The sequence below is a fragment of the Homo sapiens genome, chromosome 4 (assembly GCF_000001405.40).
Source record: "Homo sapiens chromosome 4, GRCh38.p14 Primary Assembly".
NCBI classification, from domain to species: domain Eukaryota; kingdom Metazoa; phylum Chordata; class Mammalia; order Primates; family Hominidae; genus Homo; species Homo sapiens.
Genome location: NC_000004.12, coordinates 93,284,273 through 93,307,903, shown reverse-complemented (window position 1 = coordinate 93,307,903; position 23,631 = coordinate 93,284,273). Strand labels below are relative to the sequence as shown.

Below are 23,631 nucleotides of genomic sequence, written 5' to 3'. Positions count from 1 at the left end.
TTTGTAAAACTATCTCGAAAAAATTAAAAATGCAGCTAGAATTAAAAGTGGTAGTAAAGTCAAACAGTTTACCCCTTTCCTTGTGAATGCTGATTATTGTGTACACTTTAGGGAAATAAGAGTATAGAGAAAATGGTTTGGGTTAATAATAAGTTATGAAATATTTGGAATGGAATTATTGGCAATTTGGAAAGTTAATTATTATCATTAAATTTAAGTTATATTTCGGGTAAACTATGTTCCTTTTGAGAGGAGGGAGAATTAAAATTATTATTTGCAAAATATTTTCCATTCTCAGGTTAATATCTGGAGGTACTGATGGAAGAATCTGCATCAAGATCCCTGCATGGAGGAGTCTGGGAAGAATCATAGACAATGAAAGGTAAAAGTCAGTTCAAAGAGGGATTACTAAAAAAAATTTAAAAATAAACAAAGCTGTGAAGAGCTGTGAGCTACTATACATTCTAAGATTGTTTAGGTCAAACTGGTAAGAAAGGAAAAAAAAAATGACGAGAAAATTTAGAAGCTAAAGCCATTTGCTGCTTATTTTCCAGATTAAAAAAGAGCATTTAATGTCACTCATTAGTATTATTCCCTTTCCTGGACTGAAATTCTGAGTCTGAAAAATACCACAATACCACAATAGGTTATTTCTTTTTTTCCTTTTCCTCTTATTTTTTTTTTTTTTATTTTTTTCTTTCTGAGACGGAGTCTCGCTCTGTAGCCCAGGCTGGAGTGTAGTGGCGCTATCTCGGCTCACTGCAACATCCACCTCCCGGGTCCCCATTCAAGCAATTCTCCTGCCCCAGCCTCCCAAGTAGCTGGGATTACAGGCACACACCACCATGCCCAGCTAATTTTTGTATTTTTAGTAGAGACGGGCTTTCATCATGTTGGCCAGGCTGGTCTTAAACTCCTAACCTCGTAATCTGCCCACCTCGGCTTCCCAAAGTGTTGGGATTACAGGCGTGAGCCACCGCGCCTGGCCCCACAGTAGGTTATTTCTAAAAAACACTATTTAAATTTACATTTTATCAAGTAAAATATAAACCTTTATTATAGTTACCAAGAAGTCATTGGTTTGGAAACAATCACAAAAGAATGCAAGAAAGAACAAGAACGCCCAAAAGGGAAGAAAAGTTTTGCCAGTTTGTTTCCATAATATTGGTTCTATCAACTCAATAAACATAAATGCATCAATTAATCTGCTTCTCTATATTATTTTTAATAACAGTAAATAATCCCCATCTATTAAACGTGGAACAGCTATTTTTAAAATACACTTCAAAGTGTATACAATTATCAGTCTGCTGAAGGTATTCCTATCTTTCTTTCATCTCAATACCCCTACCACCAACACAAGTCATCTTCTCCAGAAAGGCTTTGTTTAATCTCATTCTTTGGTTACCTTTTCTTGCTAATAGCACTTTAGGAAAATATCTAATTTTCTTCCACCTTCCCTTCCTCTCCCATGTCACATCTCTGCCTCCAGATCACTGTATTCCAGAAGTGAAAATCAATTTCCAACATAGTGTAGGGGAATTTAATAAGCTTCTGAGACGAATGAAATGAGCAATCTCACATCTGGAAAATGTTTAATGAATGAAGAAGTTTTTTTAAAATCAGCATCCTGTTTCTACCTAAACATAAAAGCTCTTCTCTTAGCCCAACCTTTAGAAGTCAGCATTCTTTTGGTAGTCTCAACTCCTTGTTATCTCTGGCTTAGCCTGGGCTCTCTCTGTTTCAGGGAAAGAACATTTTGTTGTTGTTCTGCTGTGCTTTAGTTTGGCAAACTAAGAAAAAGAAAAAAACATTGAAAAGAAAAATCGTAACGTTAACAAAGTTTCCAACTTCATGCTGCAGACATGTATATAATCAGGTAACAAGTGTATGTTGAGGTAATTTAGTTATGGAAATAGAAATCCAAGTAGAGTCCTATGGGAATTAATTTCAGATGGGGAAGCGTGAGGATTTGGCCATTGAATCACATAGATCGTTAACTTGTGATTTATAGACTTTTGACTCTGGAAGTAGTCTAATGGATATAGATCAGAGATGTATTATGTCCAAGGCAGACAACTTCATGGGAAAATTGTTAAAATAATCCAGGCAAGAGGCAATAAAGGCCTGATACACCATCCAAACTATTTAATAAGAAATTATGCTGGCTGCTCCTGTTCCATTGACTTGGTTTAACCAGCCTTTACTTGGTCCTCAGATTATTCTTTTTATTTGCACTCTAAATTCCAACGATTCTTGCATTGTTTCCATATTCTTTTTCTGTCCAATATTTCCCTACCCAAACAATTGTGCTATTTCTAGGAACTCTTTTTCATAATCTCACTAGTTTGGTTTGCATATTCTTCAATTAAACCTCTCTCAATATTGAAAGAACCTCCTAAAACTATCCTTACTCTACCCTAAGCATCATCAGCCAAAGTTGTCCCTTTGTCCAGAGGTTCCTATCCCCTTCACCCTAAATTCAGCTTATCTTTCCTCTAACCCATGGACTTAGTCCATGCAGATTAGCATATTAGAGAAATTCATCCAAATCACCCCGAATTGTGGATTTGACTCTCTTTGAAGCTTTTTAAATGCTTGTTTACTTTCACTTTACTACAAGTATTTCCCTGTCTATAAACTTGACAACTACATTTAACCTTTTGTTCTGCAGTCAGCTTTAGAGGAGAAAGGTGCTCTTAGCTACAGCTGTCATTTCTATGAGCTTTGCCCCATGATTTCCTCCCTGATATCAAGAGGCAAGTCCCCTCATTTTGGGGAGTCACAGAACTCTATTACTGTCTAAATCTACCAGGTTCATTAAAACTCTTAAAAATATTTTACTAACATTTTTGCATCCACAATAATTTATCACATTATGAATTTGGACATTTAATCAAAATTGTCAAAATTACATTAAAAGAAAAACCCAGCAGAACAACAAAGAAATCTCATTTCTTGGATGTCATTGTTCAAATTTAGCAAAATATCTCTTCTTGCAAAATAATTCATTTATTCACACATCAAATTGCACTCTCTGTTAACTATACATTTTTACTAGAAGGACACGATTTGGCCTTCCAGTAAAATGGTATCCTCTATGTAGCTTTTTATTTGTTGCACTCCTTCTATTCAATTAAAAAAATATTTGCTACCTATTACACACAAAGCAATAAGCATGCTGTTTTGTTTTAGTTTAATTTTTTTTTCTACTGGTGTCCTATTTGTTTTTAAGCAAAAAATGTTTTCCCCAGTTTAATAAAAAGGGCCTCTTTACATTCCTTGTAGTGTGTGTTAAAGTACACAAAACAATGTTCTTTTGCTGAAACTGGTATTATTTTCTTGATTCTCTTTGCAAAAGCAACATTGTTTTTTTCATTCTTATTGAACATCAAAGTACTTATCAAAGGCTCTGAAGTGTGACCAATCTCAATTTTCCCAAAGAGAAGCCATACTTTTCCTAAGGGGGGAAAAAAGCACCTCTAGTAAAAATCCTATATTTGTGGTGTTGTCTTGTCTGTTTGACTAGTGTTTTAACTCTCTCTCCACTGCATTCTTTTTCTACAATTTCCTTGATATAGTAAATTCCAGGTTAATGTAACATAGATAACAGTGGGTTCTCTTATATATATATATATATATATATTTAAAATATTATTTCCAAAGTATTGTCTTAATTTAAAAAAATAGTTCTCGATTTTAAATTAAATTTCAGATTTTACGAAAATAAAGTTAAGTACACAGGTTTTCTTCTAAGTGGATCAGTGTAATTGATATGTATTTCTTCTAAGTGGATCAGTGTAAGTATTAATATATATTTTTAAAAATTTCCTTTAAAGTACTTTTTAAAATATTTGCTTTGCAATATTTAATAATAATTCTGAGGTTGGTGAATGAGAATGCAATATAAGCAATGAGAAAAGAAAAATATAATTCAATTAGTATACTCAGAGAAGTATTATTTTTAAAATCCTCAGATAAAATTTGTAAAAATTAAAAAGCAATATTTGTTTTATGAAATGGTAATACCATTTCAATTGTCATAGCTTGAGTGTTGTTTGATAAAGCTAAGAAGAGAAGAAACTCATAAGATGTATGAGTAATCTAAACCAGTTCTGTAAGTCATAGTTGGTAAGTTTAGATGGATGGATGGATGGATGGTAGAATGGATTGCTGGCTAACCAGATAGATGGATAGGTGTATGGATACATAAACAAAAAAACACACAGAGGCAGACAGATACCCTGACAGGAAACATGAGTCTATGAATCAGAGAACAGAGCATTTATTATTCACACAGCACCTTAGCATTGGCTCCTGCGCCCTGATCACCACAAGGTGATGTGATGAGAGCCTGATATTACTCAATGCTAGTAGTGGTGTTAAACAGGAGAATGAGACTTGAAGCCCACGAAGGACAGTGGCATATCAGCCCATCCTACCCCAAGAATGACAAGGACCCTACTCTAGAATGTAAACAATTCTCTGGAAATTGGAGGGGAAGTTCTCTCTCTATCACACTGGAATATAAATGAATGGCTCTGGGGAAGATATATTTGTAAATCTCTCTGGAACAATGCTCCGTTTGTAGCTTCTAGGACATATTTTGATATTCAGTCATTCTGATATGGTTTGGATTTATGTCCCTGCCCAAATCTCATGTCGAATTGTAATCCCCAGTGTTAGAGGAGGTGCCTGGAGGGAGGTGATTGGATCATAGGGGTGGATTTCTCCCTTGCTGTTCTCATGATAGTGGGTGAGTTCTCACAAGATCTGGTTGTTTAAAAGTGTGTAACACCTCCCCCTGTTTCCTCTTCCTCCTTCTCTGGTCACGTAAGACATGCCTGCCTCTCCTTTGCCTCCCTCCATGATGTAAGTGTCCTGAGGCCTCCCCAGCCATGCTTCCTGTACAGCCTGCAGAACTGTGAGTGAATTAAACCTCTTTTCTTTAAAATTACCCAGTCTCAGGTAGTTGTTTATACAGCAATGTGAGAAATGGACTAATATACATTCTTTAACCAAGTTTCATCAGCTTTTGCTAAAAAAGCCCAGGCTCTACAGAAACATGGAAATATTCATGTAGAATCACTTTCTTACAATAGTAATCATTATAATTAGTCTCTCTTTAAAATACTGTGTAGTTGGATATATTGTTGGTTTTATTAGGAAATGAGCATAAAATAGGAAACAGGCATAATAGCCACTTTCAATAAAGTAGCCTATGAAACTGCCACAGAAAATTAGGTTTTTATACTTACCTTTGCAAGTGTACAGAAGATGAATGTATATGAATGGTCAAATTACTTGAAAATGAAGTTTACCTGTAATTCCAAATTTTTCAGTTGTGCGTACATATGTATGTGTATTACACAAATTAAACATTATAAGTGGAAAACATGAATATTATGTTCGCATTGCTCAGTGAGAGTTACTCTGCCTGTTAGTGATGGGGCATAACTGGCATACAGGACCTTCTGAAGACCCCTGGCTGCTGTATTCATGCGGCCCATGGGGCTTTCAGCCACAGTTTATTCCAAGTAAACGGTTTAAAATTCTAGCTTTATTCACTGATTACCTATATTTATTTCCTATAGAGAAGACAGTATTGCAACTGTTTCAACTGTTTACATCTGGCTTTAGCATATTTTTAGAAGCCTGTACTGTACTTGATAATAATACTTTGAACAGCATGTATAAAATGTTTAATAATGCGAAGATAAGAGAATTGAAAAAATCTGATGGTTAAAGAATGGTTGAAAGCAAAAACATAAGAACAAATTTTATCATTTAAGGGAAAATACATATTTTTTCTTCTTTGAAAGTAATTTTTCCCTTCTCTGAGCTCTCATAAGATTTTATTGGTGTGTTTCATAGTTCCTCTTATACACTACAGTGTAATTATCTTTACTAGATTACAGGTTACTTAGCGACATCTTTGTATACTTCATAGCTTCTTACAAAATGCCTTATGTAGGTGGCTCTCAAGAAATTTGTCGAATTTCCTGAGTTTTATTTTTATTTTATCATGTTTTGTTTTCTGGTTGACGATCAAAATGAACCTCCTTTTATCAGAACACATTTCAAAACAACAACAAAACAAAATGAAGTGGCTGTAATCACTCTAATTCAATAATAAATAGGTGGATAATGTGAGACATTGTAAATATATTAAATAACTTTGCTGATATCGTAAGCACTGACCCACAATACGTAGGATTATGTAACTAAGCATAAAAATAACTTGTGTGGTACTTTGATAAACCACAAAATGGAATCTTCAAATTAAACAGTTACTGTTTTAAAACAAGCCTAATATGATGATGATCACCATTTCTGTTTTTTTGATATTATCATCATTAACATCTGTTTTCTTTAGTGTAGAAATGATTCCAAAAGGCAAGAGATGTTTAAAACTACATAATGCTTTTAGTCTCTTTACTAATTCATAATATGTTGTTCTTCATGTTAACTTTTAACGAATCCCAGTTTAAACTTGAAAGTAAAAAATATGAGAAAATAACTACTTTTTAATTTAGGAAGTCCCACAGTGTGGAGCTTGTTACTCCCCACATAATTATAGGTTAAATATATAAACACTTTTTAAAGACTAGTTTAGATAAATTGATAAATGGTATGTCAAAAAGAGCTTATTTGGGAAGTAAAGACAGTTTACAATTAAACATTTAATATCTTCTTAAAATGATAACGTTTGTTTCCTATTATAAAATGCTTCATATATATGTTTAGAAAATTTGTGTATTGAGGGAAGAGAGAGACCTTCTCATATTGTTTTATATTGTTTTATACTCAGTACCTGTTTTAAGAAAAAACAACAAGGCAGTAAAACCAAAGACAGGCAGCCCGGTGTCAGGCCCGAAAACAGGCCTGGGCCTGCCTGGCCTAAACCCAGTAGTTAAAAATCAACTCATAACTTAGAAACTGATGTTATTCATAGATTCCAGACATTGTGTAGAAGAACACTGTGAAACTCCCTGCCCTGTTCTGTTTCTCTCTGACCACCGGTGCATGCAGCCCCTGTCACGTACTGCCTGCTTGCTCAAATCAATCACAACACTTTCATGTGAAATCTTTAGTGTTGTGAGCCCTTAAAAGGGGCACAAATTGTGCATTTGGGGAGCTCGGATTTTAAGGCAGTAGCTTGCCAATGCTCCCAGCTGAATAAAGCCCTACCGTCTACAACTCGGTGTCTGAGAGGTTTTGTCTGCGGCTCGTCCTGCTACAGTATTATGGGCCAATAGTCCACAAAGTGTCACCCCAAGACTTTTTGGAGTTCTTCAAGGCCAAATATTTTTCCTAATAATAGTAAGATATATTTGCCTTCACTATGTTGATATTTGTACTGATGGAGCAAAAGCTGACATGGGTAAAAGTGCTGTACCTCAACACAGATCAAGGCTGGGCACAGACTTTACTGGTGGACACTGCATTCTTCACTACTTAACACTGCTAGTATGAAAGAAAATAAAAGCTAAGTTCACTTAAGAATGTCCTTGAAGAAATAGTGAACATTATTAATTTTATTATATCTTGACCCTTGATGGGGTCAGCCCTAATATATTCACAGGTTCCATATCTGCAGATTCAATAACTATGGATCAAAAAGATTTCAAATATATATGTGCAACACAACAATGAAAAATATGCCAGGCATGGGAGTACCTGCCTGTAATCCCAGCAAACTCAGGAGGCTGAGAGATGATCACTTAACCCAGGAGTTTGAGACCAGTCTGGGCAACATAAGGAGACCCCATCACACACACACAAAAGGAAGAGAAAGAGAAATATAATACAAATAAAGAACAAATACTGTATAGCAACTATTTACATAATTTAGAGATGATTTAAAGTGTACACGAGAATGCATGTAGGTTATATGCAAATACTACTTCATCTTAAATAAGGGACTTGGGCATCTGCAGATTTGGGTATTTGCAGAGGTCCTAGAAACAATCTGCTGTAGATAACAAGGGAAATTTGCAGTTATCTTCTAATATTATGTGTATGCATGAAGCATACTTGTATTCTTATGCCTTAAATATCTGGGACTCTTACAGAAGGCACAATACAAAGGAATAAAATAATTAAATACCTTGAAAATAATTCAATGATTTAAAAATACAGATTGCAAGAGGAGAAGGTTAAAGAAATCCAGATTTAATCCTTTTTTTATATATATATTTTTATTATACTTTAAGTTCTAGGGTACATGTGGACAACGTACAGGTTTGTTACATATGTATACATGTGCCATGTTGGTGTGCCGCACCCATCAACTCATCATTTAACATTAGGTATATCTCTTAATGCTATCCCTCCCCCCTCCCCCCACCCCACAACAGGCCCCAGTGTGTGATGTTCCCCTTCCTGTGTCCATGTGTTCTCATTGTTCAGATTCAATTCTTATCAGAGAAAGATAATTAAACGGAGATCACTCAACTAAGACTTTTTTTTCCCCGTTTCAAACAGCAAAATGCGCTTACATACTCATTTAAATTGAATTCATAAAGTGAAACCTAAAACAGCCAGTTTGTGGTTAAGTCTCCTCCCTACTTCTTGCCCTTACTGTAACTTCCTCAGGCCTTGCCTTTCTACTGCATTTATATGTAGATACAAATAGTATCTGTATCTATTTTCCTCAGGGCCTGAACTACCTGAATGCATAGTGGGCTACGAGTGCCTGAGAATTAAAGGTTCTGGGAATAGCCCACGACTGATTGAAAGTTGTCAGGTACAGAACCTAAATGAATTCTATGCTGCCTTCCAGAGTTCCCTGTAGGATTACATTCCAATTCCTTATAGCAGTGACTTGTTTGAAAACAAATTCTTTATTGGCTGCCTTTATTTTTCTATCATAACTACATTTTTTCTCTTTGACAAAAGTTTATTTTATTTTAGCCTATTTCATTAAGAAAAAATACTGCATATTACCCATTAATCTCATTTCATTACTCACTAATGAGTCCCAACTGACATTTTGAAAAACCCTAGCTTCTGAAGATAAAATGATGAGCAAAAGCAGATGCCATGTATCTTCAAAGAATCTTAGATAAACATAAATCAAATCATTTCAAAAGTTAATGTGAAAGTTACCTCTGTAATTGCTGCAAAGCAAAGGTACATGGAATTAAGAAGATATGTCAGGAAGATCTGCACTGGAGACAGGGAGGAGGAACAGTAAGGGGAGGCTTCCTCAAGAAATGGTGATTAAGCTGAAATTTGAAGAAGGGTTGGAGTAAATTCTGAGGATGGCTTATTTAGAGAGAATATCTTTGTGAGAAGTTGGACATGGAGGGTGTTATGTAATGAATGTTTGTATCCACCCAAAATTCATATGCTGAAATCCTACCCACCAATGTGATTGTGCTAAAAGGGTCTTTGGGAGGTAAATTAGGTCAAGGTGATTTAGGTGAAGCCCTCATGAATGAAATTAGCCTCTTTTAAAAGGGACCATAGAGAGCTTGCTAGTGCTCTTTGTGGCATTTGAGGGAACAGCCAGGAGTTGGCGGTCTGTAACCTGAAAGTGGACCCTCACCAGAACCTGACCACACTGGCCTCCTGATCTTAGACTTCAGCCTTCAGAACTGTGAGAAATAAATTTCTGTTGTTTATAAGCCATTCAGCCTATGGCACTTTGTTATAATAGTTTGAACTAACTAAGACAGAGACTGAGGAAGAAGGAGACATCAAGAACAACTGCTAGATTCATGGTTTGCCCAGTTAGATGGATGATGATGGTGTTTGCTGAACAGGGAAGACTAACAAGGACCATATTTGGGCAAAGATGGGGTGGAAATATCCTAAAAGCATTATTAAACATACTGCTTTTAAAGTATCCATGTGGTAAACCCAAGAAGGTAATTAGATAAGGGGATCTGGATTCCAGAGCCAAAGTCTAGGACTTAAATAACAATTGATTATCTGCACATGGTACAGTATAGAAAAAAAGCAAAAGAAAGTGAACAGAATCTGATAATATTGTGTTATATACTTCCTATGTATGCTCCATCTGATTTCCTAAGTGAATTTTAAGGGGTTCTTAAATAAATTTTGTACAGAAAATTGGTCAAGTGAAAGAGAATAATATTTATGTATAAAAAGTTAAAAAGACAAGTTGTACTATCAAACCTGAAGAAAAGATATTTGCCTGTGATCATGATCATGATATTAGCCAATACTATGTAGCTGGCACAACATTAGGCCCTTTATATGCAATACCATTATTAATTAACAAAATCATATGGAATAGATAGCCCAGTTTTCCAGATGAGTAGATAGATAAAATAATTACTTCAAGATTATAAATCTAAAAAAGCCCAGATTAGGGATCACTACATTGAGCATGTCTCATTGCAGAGCCCGAATTTCACTGTGCAGCCAAATGCTGTCAGACAAGATCTTTGACCATATGCTTTCCTCAAAAGAAATATTCTCTTTTAAGCTGCTACACTATATCAATCCTATGAGTAATTACTCTTTTTTCATATAAAAGGATACATTTTCATATATATATGCCAGTTAAAAATTATGATGCTTATAAATGCCTTTAATGGCGATAGAATAATAAACATAACATAAAAGGTCTTATCGGTAATTTTATTGTTCATTTACTTATTCATTCATCAATATTTATTGAGCACCTACACATGTATCACGTACTGCTCTTGATGCCTACTATGTCAGACAGCCCATGCGTAATAGAAATGGGAATTCAGAATAAGTTTCCTTGACCTTGTCATGGATTACAGGACAAAAAAGTAAGACTTTTTTCTATCATCTCTCTTTTCCCTCTGATCTTTTTATAATGTATGCCATAGATATGACCAGGGCTTAAATGATTTGGAAAGCAAATAAAGAGACAAGCACATGGGAATTGGTTTTTTAATTGACAATACCAATATATGTTTTTAAAGAATGTAATAGTAAAGTAATTCAAAGTTTTGGAATACAATATAGGGGGAATCACATTCAGATATAAGAGATTTGACTTGTAAGTCAAACTGGACAAATGTATGCAATGCTTTGAAAATTTATTCACTGTGATTTTTGAGAACAACGACTTACCCTTGTAGACAAAGGTAAAAACAAAATAACAAAATTGTCAAAAAGTATTTAGACTCAGGAAACTATCTCTTGCTGGTCAGATTCATTCAAGTTTCTTTTTCAATGCAAAATAATCAAATTAACCTACCATAAGTGGTTTGGTTAAACATGTAACAGAAATGAATAGATATACATGGCCAGAGAGTGAAATATATGAAACTGTAATCATATATGTTTGTTTGTTGGATGTTTGCATGTAAAAGAAGGAAGTTCTGTGAGTTTGACTGGGAGATACAGTTCCCACCCTTGCCTCAGCTGCTGCTCTCTTTCTTTGCTCACCTTTACAGAAACATTCTGAAATAGGTACCTTTCCTGGATCCACTTCAGTTAGGCTTTGCTTCTTGTAGTAGGCTGAAAGATAGCCACCTAGAGATACCATGTGGAACCATAAGTTATCTTTCAAGGAAAATGGGTCTCTACAGATGGGATTAAATTAAGGATCTTGACATGGGAGATTATTTTGGATTATCTGTGGGGTGGGAGGGGGGGATCCGTAAATCCAATCACATTTCCTTATTAGAGGGAGGTAGATGAGATTTGATATACACAAGAAAAGAGGAGCAATGTGAAAATAAAGGTACAGATTGAATTTGAGTGGCCACCAACAAATGCATGGCAGCCACAATAAACTGGAAGAGGCAGGTTAGAGGCCCTGGACGGACTATGGCCTGCCAACACCATTATCTCAACCTAGTGAAACCCCAGTATTAAACTTCTGGCCTCCAGAACTGTGAAAGCATACATATCTGCTATTTCAAGCTACCTATTTTTGTGGTAATTTATTAGGACAGCCATAGGAAACAAATACAGCTCTATTCCAAAATAAAAATCTGCTGTAGTCAAATTCACAAATGAATTAGCAGCTAAATCCAACATACTCAAGGCTATGCTATCTGACGTGGTTGATCATTCCCTCCATTTATCCTTTAGTTGGTGTGATGGTCAGTTTTATGTATCAACTAGGATATAGTCCCAGTTATCCAATAAAATGCCAATCTCAGTGTTTTTGTGAAAATGTCATTAAAGCCTATAAATAATTGACATTAAAAGAGAGACTTTATCCAAGATCATCTGGATGGGTCTGATTCAATCAGTTGAACAGCCTTAATATCAAAACTGAGAATGTCTGAAGAAGAAAAATGAGAAGGATGAAGAGGAGGAGGAGGAGGAGCGGGGAGAGGAGGAGGAGGAGGAGGAAGAGGAGATATAATTCCACTTGTGGACTGTATCCTTCACTCATCCCCAAAAATTCCAGCCTGCCATTCTTGACAGCCTGCCCTGCAGATTTCAGATTTGCCTAATCTGATAAGCCAATTCTCTGCATAAATATCTTAATATACATTTACTACTACTTCTGTTTCTCTGGTTGAACCCCGATTGATACATTTGGCATTGAGGATATCACACTTTCCTGGCTTTACTCCTATTTGAACAGCTGTTTCTTTTCAGTCTCCTGTACTCTTTTATCTTCATATTTCTTACCTCTTAATGTTGGAAAATCCAAGACTCCACATTTGGACCTCGTTTTTCTCGATTTCACTCACTCCATGATTTATTTTAAATCTTCCCCATGTGCTGATCCCTTTGAATTTATTTTTAATCTCCAGCCTGGATCCCTTCCCTAAACTTTCATTTTATTCACCCAGTTGCCTGCATCTCCACCTTAGGCTTTTACTAGGCATTTTAACATAAGATTTAATATCTTTAGATTTCTGTCTAAATCTGGATTTCTCATCTTCTTCAGTCTTCCCTTTCTTAGTAAAGGACACCTGTCCTTCCTGTTGCTCAGGCCAGGATCTTGAAACCATACTTTACTTCTCCCTTTATTTCACACCCTATCCGATAAATTAACAAATAAAGGAACTCTATTTTTGAAAGTTATCACAAACAGGGACACTTTCTCCTACCCTGTTCCAAAGTACGAACTGGGCACGGTGGCTCATGCCTGTAATCCCAGCACTTAGAGAGGCTGAGGCGGGCCGATCACCTGAGGTCAGGAGTTCGAGACCAGCCTGGCCAACATGGCAAAACTCCATCTGTACTGAAAATACAAAAATTTACCTGGGCATGGTGGTACGTGCCTGTAATCCCAGCTACTCGGGAGGCTGAGGCAGGAGAATTGTTTGAACCTGAGAGGTGGAGGTTACAGTGAGCCGAGATCACACCACTGCACTCCAGCCTGGGCAACAGAGTGAGACTCTGTCACAAACCAGCAAACAGAATCAAAAAACAAAGTGCCATAATATTTTACTTATTGCATTAATATCCTAGATGTTTTTTCTTCTGTCCTTGCTGCCATGTGTGTGTACACACACACACACTCTCTCTCTCTCACATACACACATACAAATGCATCATTTATTCTCCATAGGCTAGTTAGCAATCCTTGTAAAACATAAATAAAATTACAACATTCTTCTGCTCCAAACCATCTGGAAGCTTCTTGATTTAGAGTAAAAGCCAAAGTTCCTTCAATGACTAGCCTGATATGGATCACCTCCACTGCTGATTTCAACTCCTGCCACTCTTTTTCTGCCTCCCTGAGACACAACCACACTCATCTTTTCGTTTTTTTGTGGAGCAAACAAGGAAAATGCAAGGATTTGGAATTTATTGATCCCTCCTCTGCTCACTTCACCCATGTCCTAGTCCCACATAGCTTGTTCCTTTACTTTTATCTCAGTCATATGCTCCAGTATCACCTCATCAACAATGTCATCCATGTTAATTCTAGTCAAAATTATAATGACTTTCCCTTCATCTATTCACTATCCATTGTCCCTGCTTTACTTCTCCCCACAGCATAATCGCCGTCTGTGATCAGTACATGATATGTTATGTGTTCACTTAGTTTCTGTCTCCTACCACTAGAATATAAGTTCCTTAATACCAAGCATTTTTTGTTCACTGCCATATCATTTGGGGTCTAGTACAGTGCCTGGCACATAGTAGGCACGCAATAAATAGTACATGAATGAATGGATGACTGAGTGAGCTTTGGCTTATGATTGGGTGGATCCATAAGCCAATATGAACAAATAAAAGAACATTTAATAACACAGCCAAAAACACCTTGAGAGGCTAGCCATTTTTTATCTTATTTTTGTAGTGTTGCTTATTGGGTTGATTTCCCGCAAATTATTTTGGCAACAACTACTTTGTAGGCATTTTTTTTTTTCAATAATGTGTCTTTCGGGATATATGACTACCTATTAGATCTCTTTTTAGTCTGCTTGATGTTAAAGGTCTAAGGATGGAGGAGGATTAAAAAAGAGAGGTCTTAGAACAACACTGTAACACTTTGTTTCAGTTAGATATTCAAGACTAAAGAATTCACTTATTTTGCCTTTAATTCACTTATTTTTGTCTTGAACATTTTTATAATTAACTTCGTTAAATTTCTCTTATTCCATAAAGTTTATTTTTACTTATTAGTATTGAATGTGCCTCGATTAGACTCAGCAGCGTATAACTGTATGGGAGCGGATGTAGATAGCTGTCCAGCCACATAAATGCTCCTGTGACTGGTGGAGAACACCAGCACAGTAGTGACTTAGTGACTCCAGTGTTAATTGAATGAATATTTTACCTCACAATTTTTTTTCTGACTTGGAGGCACAATAATGTAACTGTATTAAAAGAACATGCCGTGCACCTGGGGAGGATGGGTGGTTAAGAGCACTCTAAGGGTTTTCACTGATTGTACTCAGGGGTGCAGCAGGACTGATTTGCTTCACATGGATGAATAGTTTGACACCTTGTTGCTTAAAAATTGCTTATGTTTAAAGTACACTCCACAGCTAAAGGGCTATGCAGATGCCACATTACTGAATAGCATATGGACATCTCCGGGGCTGTTAAAAATGATCACACCAACCGTCTGTTTTTACTGGGGCTTACTGTATTTATACAGTTCTAAGAGAGAAGATTACACCTTCCAATGTAGCTCAGGGGACCTATATTAAGGAGGAAAGGAAGCAGAGAAAGGACTTGTGAACTTGCAAGCCAAACTTTATGTTTCAGTAATGGTCTCTTTCTTAACAATGTGGCAGTTTTAAATCTCAGAAAGGCCAACATAATTTTAAGATAAAAACCACTATTTTTAAAATTTATAACTTAAGTCTTTAAAACCTCTCACTATGTACAGTTTGGTGGCAAGAATGGAGTGACTGGCATTTTTTGTTTGAACAGCAAAACTCATTTAGTTGCTGGCACAAATTTATATGAGTTCAAAAATTGTCCCCAGCTTTGTTGTAACTTCAGAGTTTCTACCTGGGAAAGAAAAGGGCCTAAAAGAATAGCTATGTTTTCCCTCAATAACAGAAGGAAGACTTTACCTTCTGTGACCCCTTACTTCTTAGTTCTGTTCATAGCCTGTATCTTTTTCTATTACCAAACCTCTAAATTTCTCCTGGTATTTAAATGGTCCACAGTGTCAAGCAGCATGCTGAGCACATAGTACCTCCTCAGTAGAGCATAGATAATGTGCAAGACACAGGGCTGAGGACTATGGGGAAGACAGTACCCCAGCCCCTTATATTTATGCCAGAAGATATGGGGAGAAGGACTGCAGCTATTCCTCTACAAATTTTTACTACAGCAAACACCAGATGAATTGTACAACATAAGTTTCATTCAAATTTGTCCTCTGAGTATGTAAAATCACAAGTCCTTAATCACCAAGAGCAAAAACAATTTCTGAGCAGCATCTTGTGGAATAAGTGACTTATCACCATCATATCACATGGTGCTCTCTTGGCCCCATTTCAACCATCTTATGAGTAACAATAAAACTTTACATAATAATTAATAACAATATATTGTATTCTTGAAAAATGCCAATAAAGTAGATTTGAAGTGTTCTCATCACAAAAATGACAACTATGTGTGGTAATGCATATGCTAATTAATTTGATGCAGCCATTCCATGACATATATATATTTCAAAACATCATGTTTACATAATAAATATATACAATTTTTGTCAATTAAAAAAGAAAAAAGAAAAAAGAAAACACGTGCACACACATAAACAAATTTACAAAGGCCATCTTGAGGCAGGGTATGTTGAAGAGAGGATATACAAAATCTATGAGTTTGTCACACTAACAAAATAAGTATATACTTGGATTTACATGCTTCTCAGTTTTAACCTATTTAAAGCATCTGGAAAGCCAAGTGATCTTTATCAGTGTTAAAAAGCCCACTAGTAGTTTATCTTAGTTGCCACACAATTATGTATTTTTTAATTAATTCACTTTTTGAACCTAGTTTTGGAAAATTGTAATTGGATTAATATATAGTGTTTACTATACGTCAGACACTGTGATGACCACTTAATTCTAACAAAACCAAGTAGAAAGTCCTACTGCTTTCCTCATATTATGAATTATAGTTTAGTAATGCTAAATAACTTGCCCAAACTAAACTAAACCCCTATTACATGGCAAAATCAAAATTGCAACCTTGTCCCTTGACCCTAAAGCCTATCCTCTGGCCTGATGCTTTTTGACATAAGATCAAATAGGGAATGAGAAAGATGAAATGATGTAATGCTCTAGAGGTTGTAGCTACATATATATAAAATATTTTAAAAATTACTTGTATGCCGGCCGGGCACGGTGGCTTACGCCTATAACCCCAGCACTTTGGATCTGGTGGGCGGATCAAGAGGCCAGGATATCGAGACCATCCTGGCTAACACGGTGAAACCCCGTATCTACTAAAAATACAAAAAATTAGCTGGGCTTGGTGGTGGGCGCCTGTAGTCCCAGCTACTCAGGAGGCTGAGGCAGGAGAATGGCGTGAACCCGGGAGGCGGAGCTTGCAGTGAGCGGAGATCGCGCCACTGCACTCCAGCTTGGGCGACAGAGCAAGACTCCATCTCAAAAAAAAAAAAAAAAAAAAAAAGTAACTTGTATGCTTTTGAACCCTTTGATGGTAAGATATAAATGAAGCATCTTACCCTGTGTTCAGAGTATTCAGAATTGCAAAACACAGAATATTATTTGAAAATGTTACTGTGGACAAAAAATGACCAAGATAGAAGCCAAGAATAAGAGAAGGGATGCTGATGGGATGAAAAAAGAAAAAAGAAAGAAGAACAACAAAACCACAAATACTACCAGATAAAAACACATAATATTTAATCTCATTTATGTAACTTTTTGTGTAGGTGTGTTCAAGAGAGAATAAATATAAAAATGCATGCATAGATGACTCTTACTAAAGTGTTAAAGAAATATAAGAACAAAGCCAAAAGTACAAAAAAGAAAAATGAAAAATAAATCACTTGATGTCATCACCTGACATTAAAGATGAAATATAAACATAGGTATAAGCAAAGGTTGAGATTTTAGTGACCTCTAGATATCATGAAGTTTCTAATTTTTTAAAATTTTTTCTAATTTTTCCAGAGAAATCTCTGTTAAAAATCAGAATCATCTCCTAAAACCCCAGCTCTATCCGAACACCTCTTTCTACCCCAAACACACTCATAAACACGCACTCATAAGCAATCACATGGCACAGAATTGCTCCTACTAAACCGAACATTAGTATCAGTCCTTTAGCTACATTGAGGAACTTGAACATGAAATTTATTTTTAACATACTGTAAAGAGATTGTCATTTTTATGAACTACCGGGCAGTTTTGCCAGATTTTAAACCTGTAAGTGATTCAGTGGCTTACATGGTATATTCTTTATGAAGACAAAAGGAAACACATTTCTCTCAGTTCCAGGAATAATTGTGTCTCTAAGCACTTTAATATACACTGGAAATCATGTAACTGTCTGAACTCTATCTTGGCTGCCAGAAAGAGTGATGTCAAACCATAATCCTAGTTTTATATTTTTCTTATCTTATGGACTTCTTTACTCCAATTTTTTTCCCTTATTGTTAGTTGTTTTAACATACGAACATTTTGTAAGACCTTTTAAATATTTCAGCATCAATGTAGGTTATATGTACGTACCCACAAATAACAATAATGGCCTGGGAACAAGAAGCGGACATACCAACACTAACTGTGGGGCACACAGAAGAAAATAGGCCTTAGCAACACAGACTAAGGGTGACTGCTTAGTCTGTGTCGCTAAGAGGAATTTTAAATCAATATTACAACTTATATTCATTGTATATTTGCATATAAACAACCTACATATGTATATGTTTTCATTATAGAAACAAAGCCATTTTTATTATTTTAAATTATCAAAATAGAAAATCCCTACCAGTACCAATATGTGTGTATGCCTGAACTGGAGGAAACCTAATTAACTATTATACAATGGGAAAAGCCAGGCAGCCAGCATCCTTTAAGGAGTTCTCCCTACGGCATCCCGATAAGGTCTGGATTTGCCACATGCCCTAATGCATTCCAATAAACAGCTTTATGATGTAATAAGTAGCTATTTGTTTGCTTTTGCACTGAATCCAGTCTCTTAAAAAAAAGACAGGAGAAATATTTAGTCCTATTTTCTTCAACTATCATTTTTTCTTTCAGAAGTTTATTTGATAGTCAGTATGATAATAGAAACTTAAAAGGTTGATTATGTTCTCATTCAAGCAAAACGACTACTAGTTAATCACCTACCTATGAAGCTTCTTGGCACCAAATTTACCAGTTTTGTACAAAACACTGCAGGATCATCAACAACCACTTATGACTGACAAACATATACAATGAATTTATCATTTAAAAAATAGTCTTACCCAATTTTCCAAAAGGTTTCTTATTATATTACAGCCTTTTGGCAAAATAAGGCATGTTGTTTCACACTTAATAAAACAAATACTATACCTGTCTTGAAAGAAAATTGCAGGAAAAAATTTAGAGCACTGAGAAAGATTCAGTCAAAGAATAGAAAATCAACCTAGTATTTCAAGAGAGTGAAACTACTTCTCACTTTAACAAGACTGCTATTCACACAATACAGGGAAAACATAAAAATTAAGCATAGAAAACATAATTATTAGAGGGAATTCAGGAAACAAATTTTGGAAGCCCAATGGAAAAGGTATCTTTAAACCTTCACAAGAATATGTTAGAAATATTAGAAACACAAATTTTTACTCTGATACAACATATCAATGTATGGTTAGCAGCCCCATGCAAACTTATATAAAAGGATAGAGTCTCATTTTCAATGTATGCAATAAAAAGTATATAGGTGAGGAAGCCCAGGAAACTCAGAGTTATTAGCAAGCCAATTCTCTTTGGACAGATGGAGCACCTGAGGCAGTTAGACTCCATTTCTCCTGCAAGATAGTGGCCATCTAAGGGCAGTGATGGATACACAGAGGCAGGAGACCACCTGTCCATCACCAACAGCATCATGAATGCCCCAGGAAGTGCATATGAGTTCTGAAGTCTTGGACCCCAAGCACCAGAAACCCAGCTGACACTTGTGTGAATAGAAATGCTCTATTTGGATTTGGCTCAAGTCCATGGTTTAATAATAATTTTGATTGCACATTATTATTTTGGAACTTTTTTATATTTCTATCAATCCAACTGCTGCATCATCTCAACAGTATCTTACTGGAAACAATGATAATTTCAAGCTGTTGATGCCTGTATCTCTGTCTCTAATGTAAAAGGCATTAAATGAAGAACAATTTAACATCATTTAAGGATATCCCAATAAAATATAATTTGAAAAGACAGCAAATCTATATTTAAAAATTTATTGGCAGAAACACAAATCTTAAAAATAAATTTTAGGAAATATTGATGTGTGGGGATAATTTATCAGGGTTAGATGTCTCTATTTCTAAGTCATTTAGGTTTAATTATTAGGGAGAGCAAGGTAGAGAAAGGGAGAATAGTGGCCCCTAATTTATGCCTTCATCCTTTCAACTGTTTACTCAAAACGCATTATGAGCTTTTATGCTAATAATATTGACAGACTGGTATCAATGGAACTTGTGTAATGGAGAAATCCCATCTAGGTATTGCCTCCAGAATTGGCAATACAGTATCAGAACAATTATCAAGTGAATATAGTGAACATGCTCTCTTTATCAAGTGAATTTAGCCTTTCCTAGTTAAACAATAAAATATTAACATAGCCATTTGGCTAAAATGCTGATGTCACATGTTTATAGATTAGGAAAATATTTTAAAATGTCATTTGAAGCAAGATGAAAAGAAGCAACTGTCCTTTCATTAAGTTAAACTCTTCTAATACTCCCTAAATTCAGTATAATTTTTCTGAATTTCTCCTTGTCATAGAAAATTCTCCGAAGACATAGTCTCTTCTCTCAGTGGCTGTAGCACTACTAGAGTTATGATAATAATAACAGAGTGTTTGTTTGAAACTGATTTTTGAGGGTTTGTCTGACTGTGCCTCAGGATAGCACTGTGGAAACTCTTTCCTCTGCAACTTTCTACCTGCCTAAAGTGAGGCTCCCAGTTCTTCTACTATCACTGTTGCCTTGGATAAACAAGTAATTCAGGTAAGGCCTGATACTTCCTTCTTCCCACCTTTCTAATCCAGACTTTCTCTCATAAATAGTAAAAACTAAATGACAGAAAAACAATTTTTCCAACATTCTTCATAAGCCTTTACAACTCCATAATGATATTTTTTCCCAATAGGGTAATCAACTTAATCAATTACTTGGTGGCTAAGCTACAGTATCTGCTTACCTTTCTTTTCATTTTTTTCTCACTTAAGTTATAAGAAATAGAAGGAGAACAATTTTTACTGAGTTATCTACTATGATTGAAGGATAACGCTGGGTATCATATATATTTTTTCTTACCTTGATTTCACAATAATACTATCATTTTTCTCACCTTAAGAATAAAAACACTTCAGCTAGAATGAAGTCAAAACACTGATTGTATAATATTATTCTAATTTTTCTATATAGATATTAGTCCCCTAATTATTAATTTCAGAAGAATGCTGAACTTCATTCAAAAGAATATAATTTGGAAAATAATTTTTTCAGAAGGCAAAGAATAGTCCTGTGGAAGGGGCTTATCTAATGATGATATATATATAATTCTGGTTGGATTAAGATAAATTCCACAACTAATGTGGGAACATACACACACACACACACACACACACACCCCCACACACACACACATACACAAAAGCTTTTCCCCATTGAGGGGCTCACAATTGAAGTTTCCGGAGGTGATGGTCTTTGAGATGGTTCTTAAGTGATACAGTGTGTTTTGGTAAGACAATATTAGTGTTTGTTGGTGAGTGAGGCTTGGGGAAGTTATGGCAAGGAAGCTCCCAGGAGAAGTTAATGGCAAAGCACAAAGAGGTGAGGAAGGGTGATATGAACCCTGGAAGGAGTATGCAGTTCTTAAAACTAGAATGCAGATTCAGTCCATAAATAGAAGATGAATTTGTAAATAAGTACTAAGCTTGGACATGGGACAAATAAAATTGATAATACTGGGAGCCAATCATTGGTATAGATTTTATTGGCTTAATCTAAATTTTCTGGTTAATCCATCTTCCTAATAGGCTACAATTGGTTCATTTATTATTGTCAGGTCAACGTTCTAGTCATCTTCATTTACAAATAATGACTTCAGAGAACAACTAGCTCAGTCTATTTTTATAATCTATATAAGCTTTCTGTTTATATAATAATCCTATTATGTTTGATTTTTACATCAGTCACAACTTACTGAAATAGTTTACATAAAATCAATGGCATATTCTATATGCAGAAAAAGTTTTTTTCTGACATGTATTGTTATTTGAAAATTTGATACATGTAGGCATAAATTATAATTTCACTCCAAATAAACTACACAGCTTATTGATACTTACAGCGTATTAAAATCTTAACACAAAATAATTTAAGTAGACTAAAAATCACTTTCCCAGGATTTTGAAAGATGTCTTTGTAGATCAAATTCAGAGTGCAGGATTTTATTTTCAAGCAACATAAATTGTATGATTACAAATTATGCAATCTTACCCCTATAGCAGTATAAATAATTATACTATTACCATCAATTCTTGACTTTTGTATCACTCCAAATGCTTATTTAAAAAGACAGAATTTTAATTCATATTTTAGCATTTGAAATATTATGATATTGCTAATTTTAAACAAGTTTTTAAAGACTTCATTTGCTTTTAGACAAATTGAGAGTTTATACTTACTTTCCCTTTCTTACATAAAATATTCTATAAAAATAGTACACATAGAAAAAAGTGTATAATCATCTATGTTTTAAACATCACTGGAATTTCACAGTGTCAGCTATTTAGTATTGTTTCTAACATGTCAAATAGGACAGGCAAATTATCTTAAGACATGGGATTTAAACAAGTACTTCTTGATATTTCTTATTTTTTAATGCACATGTTTTATTTTTTTCCTTTTTCATGATAAAGGTTTATATAGAAAAGATTCACTATTTTTCTTACACAGAAATATAAAATAACAAGAAGTACCTATACATAGTTTGCAAAAGCAGAAGTATCAGGGCATATAGGGTTTCTCAAACTTGAATTCTAATGTTCTATGAAAAAGTTGGTCTTTAAAGGAACTTAAGTGCACAGACTCATGCAGTGATGTGAAAAATACTATTCAGGTCATCATGAATTTACTTGAGAAATATTTTTTATTACAAAATGCTCTCTGGAAAACTAGGTATTACCTATTGGATATAAAATAACATAGGTTGCTTTTAATTATAACACTTTGCCTGTGATTGCTGGTATAGTATATGAAGTCAGATGAGATATTGAGAGACCAAAAGCTTCCTTTGGTTTAAAAAAATTAAAAAATTCCAACATCACTGATGTATCAGTTTTTCCAGTTCTGCAATTAGCATTTATTCACTTACTCACCTACCCACTCACTCATTCACTCATTCATCCAATATTTATTGAGTATCTATATGGCCCAGATGTTGTAGATATAATGACTGATTTATTTTGAAGGAACCAAGTCTCGCTGAAAAGCTAAATATGTACCGAAATATAATAAAATATGTTCTTTATTATTCTAACTGTATTGTTATCCATATATTTCATACAAATTAATTATATTTTTCCTCTATATAATGTATACATTCTGTCACCATATAATTATATATTTAAAATTTGGTATAATTCTGCAAACAAAATAATGTACATTTATAGACTCCAAGATTTCATGCTATCTTCAAACAAGGTGGAGTGGGGAAATTGAAGATATAATCCTTCTGTTGTAGTCACATAATTGAAAAATGTGCTTTTATTTATTAATTTATTATATATTTTAATTATTATTTTTAACTTCTATTTTAAGTTCAGGGGTACATGTGCAGGTTTGTTACATAGGTAAATGTGTATCATAGGGGGTTGTTGTACAGCTATGTCATCACCGAGGTATTAAGCCTAGTACCCATTGGTTGTTTTTCCTGATCCTTTCCCTCCTCCCATCCTGCACCCTCCAATGTGTGCCCCAATGTGTGTTGATCCCCTCTATGTGTCCATGTGATGACAGGCTTTAGTGGTTGGATCTAGCTCTTCTAA

General features: G+C 35.0%; 1 protein-coding gene across 18 annotated transcripts in view, besides 1 other annotated feature; it reads right to left on the bottom strand.

Annotated features, from left to right (window-relative positions):
• Positions 1-23,631, bottom strand: part of GRID2 (glutamate ionotropic receptor delta type subunit 2) — a 1,506,491-nt gene that overhangs the window by 502,553 nt on the left and 980,307 nt on the right. The window lies entirely within an intron of this gene.
• Positions 6,830-6,929: an enhancer, noted in NCBI's record as "active region_21726". NCBI's record gives its function as "activates an Ori minimal core promoter by ATAC-STARR-seq in GM12878 lymphoblastoid cells {active_cell/tissue: GM12878}" and the evidence as "EXISTENCE:reporter gene assay evidence [ECO:0000049][PMID:35858748]".